The sequence below is a fragment of the Homo sapiens genome, chromosome 6 (genome assembly GCF_000001405.40).
Source record: "Homo sapiens chromosome 6, GRCh38.p14 Primary Assembly".
NCBI classification, from domain to species: domain Eukaryota; kingdom Metazoa; phylum Chordata; class Mammalia; order Primates; family Hominidae; genus Homo; species Homo sapiens.
Window position 1 is genome coordinate 154,823,237 of NC_000006.12, and position 16,885 is coordinate 154,840,121.

A 16,885-nucleotide genomic window follows, 5' to 3' on the forward strand; every position below is an offset into this window, starting at 1 on the left:
AGAGAGAGAAAGATGAGGAGTCATTGGAGGATTTTGAGCAGAGGAGTGACTTGATCTGGCTTACAGTTTTAAAGGATTGCACTGGTTACTATTTTGAGAATAGGCTGTAGTGAGCTTTGAGCAGGGAGACCAGTTAAAAGACAGTTGTAGCAATCCAGATGAGAGCTGGTGGTGGCTCAGAATAGACTTCTGGAGTGTCTATTGCACTGGAGGTAATGAGAAAAGAGTGGAGGTAATGAGAAATGGTCAGATACTAGGTGTATTTTGAAGGTGTTGTAGCCAACAGGACTTTGCCTGGTACGATTGGATTTGGGGTTATTATGAGCAAAAGCAGAGGCAAGGTTTTTGGTCCAAGAAATTGGAAAGATAGAGTTACCATTATCTGAGACTGGGAAAGACTGTGAGAAGAGTTCTTTTGGGAAGGACGACTGGAAAATCAGTTGTTTCATACATGTTGTTAGGTAGAAGTATCTTTCTGTCAGCACAATTGGGATGTTGAATAGACACTTGATGTAATGTGAAATTTACAGGAGAGGTAAAGCTGTGGTGCAGATGAATACTTGCGACTTTACCTAGAGTGAGTAAAAGGTACTTATGCTAGGATTAGAAAATAAATTATGAGAAATTTAGGCCATTCTAAAGCTGTCATTGACATGTTTCCTAATGGTGGTTAGGTTGCATAACAGGTATTACTGAGTGGGAGATGGCAGTTTAAAATGGAGCATAATATTCAGTGTTGAACTAGGTGACCATTAGTTTACATCACTTGAATGTAAGATCAAATTCATAATCTCCAAGTAAAAACTATCTGTTGAATAACATTGCCTTGTTTTTACCCTAAGTAGGTTCACTTGCAAGTATACAAAAAGGGGGCATAAAACCCTTTTTAGTAGTATTTGTTACCATCCTGAAAGAGAAATAGAATAATTTGCCTTTAGTTGTTCCAAGATGCAGGTGAATAAACTGATGAGTGAACTTTTTTGTCTATCCACAAAAGATTCCAGTGGCGCCAGCCGTGCCTACAGTTAGTTTAGTCCCACCAGCATTTCCTGTGTCGATGCCGGTTCCTCCTCCTGGATTCAGTCCAATCCCTCCACCTCCTTTTTTAAGAGCAAGTTTTAACCCTTCACAACCACCACCTGGTAAGGAATTTTTGTTTTAATATTTGAACTCTATTTAGATTATCATTTAAGTTGTGTTTCTTCCAGATTTAAGTACCATAGAGCAGTGGTTCTGAGACCTTAGCATGCATAGCCTTGTTAAAGCGCAGATTGCTGGGCCCAGCCTCCACTGTTTTTGCTTTACTCAGTCTGTGGTAGGGGCCAGAGAATTTTATTTTCTAACTTGTTCTCAGGATGCAGATTGGTGGGAGAAGCAGCACTGACAGAGAAATATTGAATTTCTTTAGAATAATTGAAAACCATGGCCGGGCATGGTGGCTCACATCTGTAATCCCAGCACTTAGGGAGGCCAAGGTGGGCAGATCACTTGAGGTCAGGAGTTTGAGACCAGCCTGGCCAACATGGTGAAATCCCATCTGTACTAAAAATACAAAAATTAGCTAGACGTGGTGGCACAGGTCTGTAATTCCAGCTACTCGGGAGGCTGAGGCAGGAGAATGGTTTGAACCTGGTTAGGCAGAGGTTGCAGTGAGCCAAGATCACACCACTGTGCTCCAGCCTGGGTAACAGAGCAATTACTTTGTCTCAAAAAGAAAAAAAGGTGAAAAAAAAAAAAGAATTATTACTCTTAAAGTAATGTAAAATTTCCATTGCAGTTTTTATATGAAAGTTCTCTAATAATTATCAGCATTTCATCAGAAAATTTGCATTGTCCCTCCTAAGAATCAGTAGGCTCCATTTTGACATTAGAAATTATATTTAAAAGGCTAATTGAATTTGTAATACTTTGTTTTGACCTAATAAATTATTTTTATTCTTTAAATATGGAACACTTCACAAATTTGTGTGTCATCCTTGCACAAGAGCCAGGCTAATCTCTGTATCATTCCAGTTTTAGGGTATGTGCTGCCAAAGCAAGTACTGACCTAATAAATTACTGATACACAAAAAAAGTTTCTTGAATTAGATTTTCCAGGTAAAAACTATAGATTACTTAAACACAACTTACATATATAGTTTAAGATAGAGCTTTTAGGCCGGGCATGGTAGCTCACACCTGTAATCCCAGCACTTTGGGAGGTTGAGGTGGGAGGATTGCTTGGGTGCAGGAGTGCAAGACCAGCCCAGGAACAGAGTGACACCCTGTCTGTACAAAAAATAAGAAAGTAGCCAGGTGAGGTGGTACACACCTGTAGTCCCAGCTACTCAGGAGGCTTGAGCCCAGGAGGTGGAGGCTACAGTGAACTGTGTTCGCACCACTACACTCCAGCATGGATGACAGAGTGAGACCTTGTCTCAAAAAAAAAAAAAAAAAAAAAGCTTTTATTATTAGACCATGGGAGGTTAGGTTAGAAGAATGATGGAGAGATACTTGTGAACTCCTGGAAGCAAGTGATCTTCCCACCTCAACCTCCCAAAGTGCTGGGATTACAGGTATGAGCCACCGCGCACAGCCTAAAAGCCCCATCTTAAACTATATAAGCAATTATATACGCATATTGATGAGATACGCATTTAAGTTATAGTCTTTACCTAGAAACTCTAATTCAAGAATTTTGTTATCAAAGTTTATTAGGTCAAAACAATATATATATAGTTTTTCCAAATTAAAATGCATTTGAATTCATGAATTATTTGCATATTATAAGAGAAGAAATACGGTATGTTGACTTCTGTAACTTAAGTTCTTAGATGTTGGGTAGAGTTTTTAGCAAGACTAAAAAATAAATTTGAGAATGGTTGTAATTTATAGGTCATGTAAGTGTTCTAAATTACAGTTTAATGTGTAATTGGAAATTGATACAGATTTTAATAACTTTATTTTAAATATTGAAAAGTTTAATTTTCTGTATTTGTGATTTCAAAATTAAATATTTCAGAAGATATTTTTAAGTGATTATTTCAAAAATCATAACCATATAGGCTTTATAAAGTCATTGTTCCTTATTAACTTGTTGAAAAATCATGTATTTTTATTCTTTCCTTATTTTTAGCCACTTTTTAAAATGTACAAAAGGTATATTTTATTAAAAATAAAATTAAATATGTGTATCATGTAATTTACCACAAAATTGAGTTATAATTAGGATTGTGAGAGGAGGAACAAACCTCGAATACCAAAGTAGATTTTATAGTTTAGAATTATTTTAGTCACTATTTTCTAGTTGAATGTAATGGTAGCTTTATATTTCAAAAAATGCAAAGAAGCAAATTTATAGTGTGGTATTTAAAATGATTAAGAAGCCGAGTGCCATAGTGTGTGCTTCTGGTCCCAGCTACTCGGGAGGCTGAAGTAGTAGGATTGTTTGAGCCCAGGAGTTTGAGACCAGCCTGGGAAACATAGACTCGGTATCTAAAATTAATAATTTAATTGAAATCATTAAAAAGCCAATATTAAATTGAAGATTTACTTCAGTGCTTAAAACATAATATAGTGTTATCCAGAGTTAACGGAAATATTTTGATCTAGTGAGTAAACACACGTATCAAATAAGTAAAATGGCATATATAAACAGTTTACCTGGCTCCTATTAATTTTTGATTTTACAGCACCATAGAGCATGCTACGGGACTTGAATGAGTAAATAAATAGGATGTTCTCATAAATCAGGACCTCTTTGCTTTACCTAGCTTATTAGGGATCAAATAAGGCAGCGTATATAAAAGCCATTTCTAAAATAGAAAAAATATATATAAATATGAGGTTGTAGTCCATTTTAAGAATATGAAGTTTCATTTGTAGCTGTTGGAATCTTTGATTTAAAATAAGTAATTTTTCTTGTGCTATTTTTTGGGGTTTTTTTTTCTGTCTAGGTTTCATGCCGCCTCCAGTTCCCCCACCTGTTGTGCCACCCCCTACGATTCCACCAGTAGTACCAACATGTAAGTTTTCTACTTTTAGAGTTTTCTTTATTCATGGTAGTGTTAATTTTAGTGTGTCAGTTCTCATTCTTGTGAATTACCGTTAATATTTTTATTATGAAAGCTTTAAGACAAATGCATGTTAGATAATTTCTAAAATACGGTAAATGACAGTTCTTATTGAAATTTGCTTGGTTGTCTTAAACTCTTATGATTGGTTTTATTTTAGTCAAAATTCAGAGAAGGTCCTCTCATCCTATTTGTGTGTTTTTTGTTTTGCTATGTGTATTAAATGTCTTAATGTTAGTGCAGTCCTGCCCCAGTCCTCCCTTCCTTTTCTTAATGCTTCATGACTTGTTGAAGAAACAGTTCATTCTGTATATAAGAGCTTAAATAATGGATTTGGTTTTTTGCTTCTTTGTGGTACTGAAATTACTGTCTTTGCATTTCCTGTAAAATGGAAGTTAGCACCAAAGGCTTGCTTAGATTCCGGTTCACCTGTTTTAGCAAGAATACTTGAGAAGCAAAATGCTGTAGGATTGGTATTATCTATCACATCAGAAGTCTTGCAGTGCCTTTTTGTCCTCCTGCCCCACACCTTTTTTGGGGCGGGGCGGGGGGGGGGGCGGTGTAAAACTTTATTTTTTAGAGCAGTTTTTTAGGTTCACAGCAAAATGGAGCCAAAAGTACAGAGGATTCCCATAAGCCCCCACCCACCACACTTGCACAGGCTCTCATTATCAACATCCTCCACCAGAGTGGTACGTATATTACAATTAGCCAGCCTATATTGACAAATCATTATCACCCAAAGTCCTTAGTTTGCATTTTGATTCACTCTTGGTGTTTTGTTCCCCTTTTAATGATGTTAAGATTGATCAGAACATTTAGTGGAACAGTAGAACCTGGTCATTAAAAACATTTCCTTTCATCCATTGATCATTGTTTCTTAGATCTACTTTTTATTAGTTGCAGAGTGGTGATCTTTCTAAATGTATAATTCCTTCCATGTTTCTTAACTTAAATGAAGAAAAAGTTTTCCTTAATCAGGTAATGGTACTTAGTTACCTTGAAGTGTGGTTGGTACAGCAAAGTCAGGGTAGATGCTATTTTTTTCTTTAATTGCCATTTCTCAGAGTCATGAGATCTATAGGTATTTCCAGTGATACCCAGTGACCAAAGAGAGATTTCTCATTTCTCTTCATCTTCTCCTCCCTTGTCCCTCTCTCCCTTTTTTTTTTCTCCTTCAGTTTCTTTAGTATTTATGGATTAATGGATTTTTACTTCTAGTCAGTTGCATTTTTCTTTTTTTGAAGTGTAGATTGTTTCATCTTTGGACGGTGGGAGACCTGTGTTGCCTCCCTGTCACATTAGTTTTGAGAGCTACTTAGCTTTTTGGCCCAGTATATCCCAGACAAATCTTGTGTTTTCCTCCCTCCAATCTGAGAATCAGCCATTTTTCCAGTTGGGGTATGGTATCTAGAGAACTCAGTCTGGGTACTAGATTCTCATTTTGCTCTTGGGTTTTCGTCGAGTCTAGGAATTTTTAGTGGACAAAACTAGAAAATGTGCATTTTGAACAGAAAAAAATGAATATGAAGTATTATTAAAGAAATTAGCTACTTTGATTTTTATATTTGCTTGTGTTCTCATATACTGAAAACAGTAACGTGATTGCTTTTCATTTTCATACAATATAGACATACACATAGTAGTTTGAAAGTAGTGTTACTGCCAACAAGGCTACCAGATGACACTAAGATTTTTCTGCCACTTTTTTTTTATCCCAAAGGTGTATAATCATAACTAGGGGTACATGTGCAGGTATCTATAAATATTTGTTTGTTACATGAGTAACCTATATAACAAACACAAGTTTACCTATATGACAAACCTGCACATGTACCCCTGAACATAAAAGTTTAATAAATAATGTATAATCAAATTATTGTGTATCAGGGTTACCTGAAATAAATCTTTTCTTTGTAGATGTGGTGCCAGTTTCATAAGTGATTTTTTTTTTTTTTTTACATTTTTATGGGATATGCACTCTAGCTTACTTGGTTTTGATATCTGTATTTTCTTTACTAGAATAGACATTTCAAAAGTAATGTAATGCAACAGTAAATATAGACATTTATTCATTTCCTTTTTTCTATCATTGGACGTTACAGAAATGCTAAATATACCCTTTTAATAATTTTTTCATTCTAGTGTACTCTTTATGTACAGTAATTCTCCAAGCTTCTGAAAAAACCTTTAGTAATTCAGGCAAGCCTACCTCAAAAATTAGACCTGAAGAGTGTATGTGATATATAAAGGTTTTAACTTTTGATTATCTAATTCATTTTCCTTGTATTCTTAAACTTTTTCTCCCTTTCAGTGTTTACATAGCTTTAAAATTTGGCCGGGCATGGTGGCTGATGCCTGTAATCTCAGTACTTTGGGAGGCTGAGGTGGGTGGATCACTCGAGGTCAGGAGTTTCAGACCAGCCTGGCCAACATGGTGAAACCCCGTCTCCACTAAAAATACAGAAATTAGCCAGGTGTGGTGGCGCACGCCTGTAATCCCAGCTACTCAGGAGGCTGAGGCAGGAGAATCACTTGAACCCAGGAGGTGGAGGTTGCAGTGAGCCGAGATCACGCTACTGCACTCTAGCCTGGCAACCGAGCGAGAGACTGTCTCAAAAAAAAGATAGGTTTAAAAGTCTTTCTTTTTGTTATTGTTGGTTCATTAGGAAGAATTGTTTATTCTTTCTGAAAATTAGACAAAGTGTTCAGAAGTCATTTCTGAATTCACTATTCACAGAGGCTTACCCTAGGGCCAACCTCCCAATTTTTTCCTAGTCCACTAATTTTGGAAAATCTGCAGTTAATTAATGGAAAAAGAGAAATAGTTGTGTGCCAGATGCTATCCAAATTGCCTTTGCTGTCTCATTTAATTCTCTTAATTCTTGTGCATGACCACAGGTGTTTTTATTTTTGTAGCTCTGTTGTATGCTAACAGTTTGTTCAGGTAATCTAGAGTTACATATGAAGATAAAACATTTCCTAAGTTCTCCAAGTATGATTTTACGGCATTCTAAGTGACATATTGGGCTAAAAATTTTAATTGTGTAATTATTTTGTATTCCTCTGGTTGTGTTTTTTAATATGTGTGACAAATGCACTTAGGGATATTTATACCCATTCTTTAAGATGGAAAGTTTATAGCTTCATATTTGTAGTCCACCTTATGTATTCTCAACTGATGAGTTTCTAACTTCATCTGACAAAAGGTAATGTTAAATGAATGTTAGGACCCTAGTACATTGTAATTGCAGGGGGATTGGGCAGATTTTCATACTCATACATTTCAGTCTGCACTAGTCATTTCTGTATGTTTAGACATTCACTTTATCTGGCATTCCTAGAAAATTATTAATTTTTTTGTTACTAGAATTTACTTTTTTTGAGTGCTGGTCCTAACATCTTTGGTGAAATATTTCTGAAAATTGTTAGTTTTCCCTATTTTTGGATAAAGCTTTCTAAATGTAATTTAGCCTATTCATGATGACTCCTTTTGTCATTTGAGCATTGGTTATTATATAATGTGCTTAGTAATACAGAGATGCCATTAAATTAAATACTCAGACTGCCAGAAAACTTAGCACATGAATTGACTCATTAAATCTGAAATATATTTTTCTCCTCTTTAAACAGCTTTAGTGCAGCCGTCATTATCCATGACACCGGAAACTGTGAAAGATGTTGGATTTGGTAGCCTTGTTATACCAGGCGGTTCTGTTGCCAGCAATCTTGCTACTTCCGCTCTGCCAGCTGGAAATGTTTTTAATGCTCCAACTAAACAGGCAGAGCCTGAAGAAAAAGTACCTCATCTTATAGACCACCAGATTTCTTCTGGTGAAAACACCAGATCAGGTAAATAATAATAATAAAATTTAAAAAAAGAGGTTGCCTCTCTGTATTTGGTGTTTAATTCTGGGGTGGCATGCGTTTGTAACCACTTCAATCTACAGATGCTGAAATGTCGCACTTTTTTTTTAAAAGAGATCACTATGTCCTAAAATTTCTATTTGAAAAAGTGGCCTTCTGTTCAGGATAATCTAGATTTCAATATGTTTCCATTAAGACCCTCACACCACCACCCCCTTTTTTTTGTCCTATTGGGACTACTTCAGTGTGTTGTCAAAATAATACTGCACAAAATCTGTATACTTATAGGAAGATAAAAATGAACAAGTATTGGGTGTGAGTAACTTCTATCGGGAACTTACTTCTAATAGGTATTATCCAGCTAGCTCTAGAAGATAAATATGGTGTTTGAAAGCAGTAAGTCCTTTTTCTATGGTCCCACTGTTGGTACATTAAGAATTATGGTTTAGAGGCACTTGACCTTGATGCCTGTTTGGGTCTCTTCTAAGCATACTTTTCTTTCCTTTCTTTCCTGTCCTAAAGCCTTTTAAACCTCCACTCCTGTTCTTAAAAAAAAAAAAAAAAAAAAAAAAAAAAAAAAAAAAAAAGAATTATGGTTTAGAAAGGCTTTTATTAAAGGTGGAAAATCAGTATAATACCTGACATTTCTGTTTAACTTAAAAAGATGTCATGTAGTAGCTAATGTACCTTGATTATTGGGGGATACAAGTAGCTGATTAAGCTAAAATTATTGGAAACTTTTGACTGTTATTTTGAGTTTTTTCTCTCTCTCTTTTTTTTTAGTGATTCCAAATGATATTTCAAGTAATGCTGCAATTTTAGGAGGACAGCCGCCAAATGTGACAAGCAATTCTGGAATTCTGGGAGTCCAAAGACCAAATGTATCAAGTAATTCTGAAATTCTTGGGGTCCGGCCATCTAATGTTTCCAGTAGTTCTGGGATTATTGCAGCCCAACCACCAAATATTCTAAATAACTCTGGAATATTGGGAATACAGCCACCCAGTGTGTCAAATAGTTCTGGACTTTTGGGAGTGCTACCCCCAAATATACCTAACAATTCTGGACTTGTAGGAGTACAGCCACCAAATGTTCCAAATACTCCTGGACTTCTGGGAACACAGCCACCAGCTGGACCTCAAAACTTACCCCCTTTAAGTATCCCTAATCAAAGGATGCCCACAATGCCAATGTTAGACATTCGTCCGGGACTAATACCACAGGCACCTGGGCCAAGATTCCCTTTAATACAGCCTGGAATTCCACCCCAACGGGGAATCCCACCCCCATCGGTACTTGATTCAGCTCTTCATCCACCACCCCGTGGACCTTTTCCTCCAGGAGATATTTTTAGTCAACCAGAAAGACCTTTTTTAGCTCCTGGAAGACAAAGCGTAGACAATGTTACTAACCCAGAAAAAAGGATACCACTTGGGAATGATAACATTCAACAGGAAGGAGATAGAGATTACCGGTTTCCTCCTATAGAAACCAGGGAAAGCATTAGTAGACCTCCCCCTGTGGATGTTAGAGATGTGGTTGGGCGGCCTATAGATCCAAGAGAAGGTCCTGGACGGCCTCCACTAGATGGTAGGGATCATTTTGGAAGACCTCCTGTAGATATAAGAGAGAATCTTGTGAGGCCAGGTATAGATCATCTTGGTCGAAGAGACCACTTTGGCTTTAATCCAGAGAAGCCCTGGGGGCATAGAGGAGATTTTGATGAGAGAGAGCATCGGGTTCTACCGGTCTATGGTGGTCCAAAAGGCTTACATGAAGAAAGAGGTAGATTTCGGTCTGGAAACTATCGATTTGATCCTAGAAGTGGTCCTTGGAACCGAGGATTTGGACAAGAAGTTCACAGAGATTTTGATGACCGCAGAAGACCCTGGGAGAGGCAAAGGGATAGGGATGACAGAGATTTTGATTTCTGCAGAGAAATGAATGGAAATCGTCTTGGACGAGACAGAATTCAAAACACTTGGGTTCCCCCTCCTCATGCTCGGGTTTTTGATTATTTTGAAGGGGCCACTTCTCAACGAAAAGGTGATAATGTGCCTCAGGTTAATGGTGAAAATACAGAGAGACATGCTCAGCCACCACCTATACCAGTACAGAATGATCCTGAACTTTATGAAAAACTGACATCTTCAAATGAAATAAACAAGGAGAAGAGTGACACAGTTGCTGATATAGAAAGTGAACCAGTGGTAGAAAGCACAGAAACTGAGGGGACATAATCATCACTCAGTAGGTAAAAGATACCTTTTGTAAAGTTGTCATCTCTCTGTAATAGATAATGGCTGACTGGACCATAGTTGTTCACTTTTGTCTGCCAGAATTAAGTTAATCTGATGTTCATGTTCACCTTTCTCTTAAAATAATTGTACAACTGACTTGTATAGACATTGTTCTTAATATGAACATGGTAGGTAAACTTTTTTTTTATTTTTTTCTGATAAAATACAAATGTTGGCCCCAGATTCTTTTAACGTCAAGGAAATGAATAACAGCTTGTCAGAGACTTCCTATGGAAGAAAGAATTTTTTAGATACTATCATTAGGTTGGATATGGTAATAGATATATTTCAGAATAGCAAGTGGTGGTATATCTTATCCATATCTTTAGGCTGCTGCAGAATTTTAAGGTTATAGATAAAGCTGTGATATTTTATGCAAAGACTGGCTCTAGGTATTTGAGGAGCACAATACAGAGATTTTAAAAAGTGATTTTGTAAAATCTACACTACGGTCTCTGTTTCTCCAAAGTAAGTGTTTGTGATTTGTTCCTCATACTGCAGTGAGTAAAAAAGAAACAAGAAAACAACAACATAAATATTAAAGTACGTTTCAATGTTGGGTGAATTTTGTTTTTAGATGCCAATAAAACTTATTTGTTTGATAACAGTGTTCTAGGAATTGTATTTTTTTAACCTATAAATTCTTAAAACCTTGAATTATTATTAGCATGTGCTTATTTTTTGCAAAAGCTTTCTATCATAACAACAATGAACTATGTGGTGGAAAAAGCATGTACTTTGATATAAAAATCATGCAGCCTCCTCAGTATGTGTATAATATCTGTGTATGTTTATTGTGGAAGTCGTGTAGTTTTTTTCTGTTTCTCTGTATGTCCGTCTTCATGCACATACAGAGAAAATAGAAAGTTGAAAAAGTTTAGATAATAAAATATTCTTTTAAATCTGGTAGAATATTGGAGAAATCTGGCTAATTAACATGGGTTATAGTTAAAGCTCTTGGTCTTGATGAAGGTAAAATAAGAGATATTATAAAGAGATACACTGGTAGTTTGGCAGTTCTATTTTTAATATAGGTAAGCATGAAGCCAGAGTTAGCATGGAGCCAAATTTCACATAAATGCTTGCATTGCTTTGTTTCACACTATATTTGCTATTCTGCGTAGATAGTACTGACACTAAAGTACTCACTGGTCACGTGCCTGAAGTTAATTTCTTAATTGCACAAAATGTGTAGTGGTGCTGGTGGACTTAAAGACATTAATGTGTATACCAGGAACATAATACCCATCATGTGTTTTGTAGGGCTCTGGGTAACACTGTAGCCTGCAAGGTAAACTGAGTAGGGAAAAAAGTAGGGGTTGGCTTCCTGTTTGTTTTTGCTTTTGCTTTTAATTTTTATTTGCTATTTGTTCTCTTTTAGGTTTTACTTATATACACAGATATAAAACCATTGGTGTTTTTTAGTTTCTAATGGAAGGCTTTTATTTGGTTCTATGAGTAGTCATTTTGTTTCCAATGCCTTACCAGCAATTTATCATTTGCTCTGTTTATCTAAAATTTCTAAGCAAAGATAGCTCCAAAAAATGATAGAACACACCAGACATTTAAAATTGGATTGGTCTTGCCTACCTCTGATGACCTAGAGAGCTATAAGAACTTTAAGGTTCCTCGTCAAAAATGAAAGACTTCTTATAAGTTCTGAACAGGGATAGTACAGTATTTATTTTGTTATTTAGAAAAGTAAAGAGTAAAAATATTTCAATGGTATTTACTTCCAAGGTAATTCAGTTCAATCAGTAATTTGAATTGGTTTCAACTCTTTTTTCCTTAGGGTAATGAGGAAAAACTATTACATGGGTACAAAGTTTTAATGTTCAGGAAATATTGGCCTTGCCCTTAAGGAAATTATATTGGCTGAGATTTCTCTCAAACTAGTTTGTTTAGCATTATTAAAATTAAGTGACAGTCACTTGGATTAAATAGCGATAAAAAGCATGAGACTTTCTAGTGATTTTTGATGCCAAGCTTCTTATCACTGTTGGGCCTTCACGTGTGTACTTGAAAAAAAAAAATGTACAAGCATTGCACTGGTTTGAAGATTCTAGTAGTGAAAGTTACCTAACCAGTTATCGGTACTGTATCTAGAAACCAATCTTGGAAATGTGTGATGACACTCTTTTAAAATAGTTAAAAGAAATTATCATGTGCTCGTTCTTTGTCCTTGTTTTTTGTTGTATAGAATTTAAGTGAAAAGAGATTATCCTCATTCAGAATTTTCAAAAGTCATAATTGCATTTGCCATTTTTTAAATGATGGAGAGAAAAGTTAATTATCTTACTTTGATAAATTTGGCATAGGACCTATCACATTTTTTATGCTTTTGGTCACAGTTCTGTCACTAGAATACTAGCAATTAGAAATGTGCAAGGAGTAACCTAACCACTTTAATACATTGGTTTGAAGTGTTGCAAGCAGTGATAACTAGACACCAAATCATGTAGTGTTTTAATTTGTGACATGTTAGAATGATATGCCTTTCTGCAGTATTAGCGAACACCTAATTTTTATCTGTATTTAAACATTTCATTAAACATTAGCTTGTGTTCTTAGCATAAATGCATGCACTGATAGAAACTTAGTTTACAGCAGAGTAATCTGCATCATATGTTCCTTTATTTTAATTTTATTTCAATAAAGGGTAGACAAATAATTTGAAAGTATTGGAAGATGAAAATACTAGAAGTATGAAATTACTTAAAACTCTGGAAGTAACTCCATATAATATTTAATAGATAAAAATGCATTCATTATTTAAGCTATTGCATTCTTACCAGACCAGTTCCTTTTGTCCTGAGAGTTTAGTTTCTTCATTAAATTTATTTGCCATTTTTCACTCATATAAAAGATTATAGTTTAAGGAGCCACACATTTAGGGTTGTTTGGGGGTTAGGGGACGTTTTGTAAATTTAAAAAGGAGAAGTCATCTTTTTAATTTGAAAAAGTGCTTTTTAAATAAACACTGTATTTCGTGGGATATAAGGTGCCATTGATTGTAAGAAACACCATTCAGAAATAGAAAATACTTCTAATATGACATGCTAGTGTTTATAGATACATTCCTAATTCAGAGATAAACGTGAAGTTTCCTAGTATCAAATAAATACAATATTTATTATTGAAATGGACTTTCAGTTTAGTGAGAATATATGAACATTACTGTTAATCAGTTAATTTGAATAAATTTTCTACCAGTCTAAACATTGTTTTTTTTTTTTTTTTTTATTTGAGATGGAGTCTCGCTCTGTTGCCTAGGCTGGAGTGCAGTGGCGTGATCTCCGCTCACTGCAAGCTCTGCCTCCCAGGTTCAGGCCATTCTCCTGCCTCAGCCTCCCAAGTAGCTGGGACTACAGGCACCTGCCACCACGCCCCGCCTAATTTTTTTTGTATTTTTAGTAGAGATGGGGTTTCACCATGTTGGTCAGGATGGTCTTGATCTCCAGACCTCGTGATCTGCCCGCCTCAGCCTCCCAAAGTACTGGGATTACAGGTGTGAGCCACAGCACCCGTCCCAGTCTAAACTTTCGTACGCACACACACACACACACATATCACCTCAAGTGATTTAGAGAATATTTTGTTTTTCTTCACTATTATGTCTAATATATATATGATATCTAATAAGCTTTCTGTTCTGTGTATATATATTAGATATCTAACAAATATATATCTAACAGATTATATTATATATATATATGATGGGCACAACCTTTAATGAACAAGAAGATTCTCATATTAAAACTTTGTTATACCTTATGTGCCTTCATCATCATTACTTTATTGGGTGCTATATTAATAAAATACTTGGCTTTTAACTTACAAAGAAAACTAACATATTTCTCTTTAAAAATATTTTACTTACATAATATATAGAAAGGCAAGTATCTTTATATTCATTAGGCAAAATAAAGGTCTAAATTATTTTAAGTAGTCATACTATGGTGTGGCAGAGAATTATAAATCTTAATATTGTTCATGCTGTGGTTTCATATATGATATCTTTTAAACTAACAAATTGTAGACACTGAAAATTTATTACTTCTGAAGAGAAATATTGATTATTATAATTTTTAATGGAAGATTTAAAAACAAGATATCTTGATATCCAGCAAAACTTTCTAAAACTAGAACTTAAAATTAAGGGCCCAGATTGTTTGTTTTTTTTTTTTTTTGGTGGAAAGGCATACTTTAAATATGGGCACATAAATATTGAAAGCAATTTGAGATGTCCCCTCTCTCTGGTTCCCAGGCAGGAAATGTATAACAGAAACACCTGTGGAGCTCTCTGAAAATATTTTGGTGGGGGTATGGGGAGTAGAGGGTGGTCACCACAGAGTTACTAATACAGAATCTCCTGAGGGTGATATATATATAAAATATATGCATACATGCACCTTCCTGTGTATATATGGTTTTTTAAATCCCCACATACCACCATTTCAGATATATTAAAATATGTACATCTTTATTATACCATACTCTTGAGATTCTTAAGATTTTTAAAAATCCAAATATTTTAGTTACATGAGATTATGTTTAGTGTTTCAACAAAGCATGCAGTTAACTGTGGCAGTTGGTGTTGGAGGATGATTCAAAAGTAGAGAAGTCAGTTATCACAGCTTAAATTTAAGCGTTAATCTAAAGATGAGTTATAGGAAGAAAGGGATGGCAGGAAGCATATGAGATGGTTTTGTAGGGAAGTATTTTTTTTTTTTATGCAAGTGAAACTTGTTCATGGATTATTACCTCAAGGAAAATTTACTTGATACATGTAATTAAGTGTTTTGATTATAGAAAGAATCTCTTTGGACCAATATTGTAGGTGTTCAGGGTCTAGAAGCAATGTTATTAGTAAGACTCCTTAGATGTGCATGTCAAAACTAATGCAAATCAGTGAATTATTTGTGCATGAGCTTTGCTTAGGCATTTTTCATCCCCTCCACTTAAGTTCCTCCTTTTTCATCAGGCTCTTTTGCTCCCATATGTATACTTAGAATGACTCGGGCTTCTTGTTCTAAAGTTTATTCAAGATACAGAACAAATATTCTAAGTAATTTGTAAAATATATATTGTATATCAAGGGATAGAATTGTGCTAATGGGCTAATTTCATATTGTATGGGAGACATTAGATGCCTCAGTTAATTGAGGGTGTTTTTGCGTGGAGCTCAATAGATAGTTCAAGTATATTGTATTTGAATCGCAATGGTGGAAATATAGCACCTGGTTGTCCTGTGTTCTTTGTTCCCTACCCTCTCCCCCGACTTCCATCCCCACCCCTGTGGGCAGCTATCATTGTTTTGTTTTATTTTTCTGCCTTTCTCAGAATTAGCCTCCAAATCCTTCTCATAGAGCACTCCAGGCTCCTTTTTGACCCCATCATTCCAGGCAGGGACCATCAATTGGATTTGTTGTTTGCATTGAAAGTCATTTGCTGCCCCTTCACTAAGTGATTATTTCTGACATCACTTCTAGCATTTAATTACCTCAAGTCTATGAAATAAGCTTTCTTTTCTGTAAATGACCAGTTGAGGAAGAAAACTAAGAGGAATGGAAAGACTTAACATTATTGGAACACTTTTAAAAATAGCACAAATTTTATTGCCCTTGGGTTTTTAAAACTGCCTTTAACAATAGCTAGATGTGTGGCTTTGGACAAGTTACTGAGCCTCTAAACATCGTTTGTTATTAGCTAATCTGAAGGGGTAAATTTTCATTATTAAAGATAATATTAGCTAATACTAAATGGACACATGCTCTGTGACAGGAACTGGAATAATTGTATTACCTGCACAATATAATCCTTACGACAGTCCTATAAGGTACTTATTACTTCACTATTTTTCTGAAGAGAAACCCAAGACACAGATTTAAGTTACTTTGCAGACTCACTGTAGTGAAGATTTAAACACTGTGTACCAGATTCAAAAATTAGTGTGTACCATCAGATAAAGTGCCTGACATGATAGAGGCTCACCAGATATTAGGCAATGTATATGCAGAAAAACATAACCCAACCAGCCATATGTTTATAGCCACAGTTAACCACTAAATTGTTTCCATTGTTACAAACATATATCGGGCTATCTCCTTTTCCTATGGCTAAATAATTAAGTTTGATTTTCTTAGATCTCCCTTTCTTCTTTTTCTTTTTCTTTTTTGTTTTCTTTCTTGAGATGGGATCTCGCTCTGTCATCCAGGCTGGAGTGCAGTGGTGCGATCATAGCTCACTGCAGCCTTGAACTCTTCCTGGGCTCAAGTGATCCCTTCTGCCTCTGCCTCCGCCTCCACCTCCCAACATGCTGGGATTATAGGTGTGAGCCCCTATAGGCACCTGGCCCGTATTTGCATGATTGGTTTTTTTTTTCCTTAAGGTTATACCATGGCATAATATTTTTAAATTTCTTAATAACTGGCTATTTTGGAGGCAGACATTTATGTTAAGATTTCTTTTTGAATACGCTTTTTCCTGCAAATTAAATAAAATTTAAAATTCCTTATATCTTTTAAAATGCTTTGTAAAGCAGAGCCAGTGATTGCTTACAAATTTATATTTTAGGATTTGGTTTTGGCAGCTTCTTTCCAAAATTTAACATTTATACACTGCATGTATAACTAAAACTTAGTACCATTTTCTTGTGCATAAAAC

The 16,885-nt window shown here is 35.4% G+C and overlaps 1 protein-coding gene and 1 pseudogene across 5 annotated transcripts in view; one reads left to right on the forward strand and one right to left on the reverse strand.

The window, feature by feature from the left end:
- Nucleotides 1-11,008, forward strand: part of SCAF8 (SR-related CTD associated factor 8) — a 100,867-nt gene extending 89,859 nt beyond the window's left edge. For 3 of the 5 annotated variants that reach the window (NM_001286188.1, NM_001286189.1, NM_001286194.1), the window contains 4 exons: nucleotides 998-1,142; nucleotides 3,936-4,004; nucleotides 7,686-7,904; nucleotides 8,703-11,008. In NM_001286188.1, coding sequence (NP_001273117.1) covers nucleotides 998-1,142; nucleotides 3,936-4,004; nucleotides 7,686-7,904; nucleotides 8,703-10,159 — 1,890 coding nt within the window. In that variant the 3' untranslated portion in view covers nucleotides 10,160-11,008. The remainder of the gene's footprint in view (nucleotides 1-997; nucleotides 1,143-3,935; nucleotides 4,005-7,685; nucleotides 7,905-8,702) is intronic. The other 2 variants (NM_014892.5, NM_001286199.2) reach the window with 1 other exon arrangement.
- RNU6-824P (RNA, U6 small nuclear 824, pseudogene) lies at nucleotides 1,940-2,043 on the reverse strand (annotated as a pseudogene).
- Nucleotides 11,009-16,885: the final 5,877 nt, after the last annotated feature.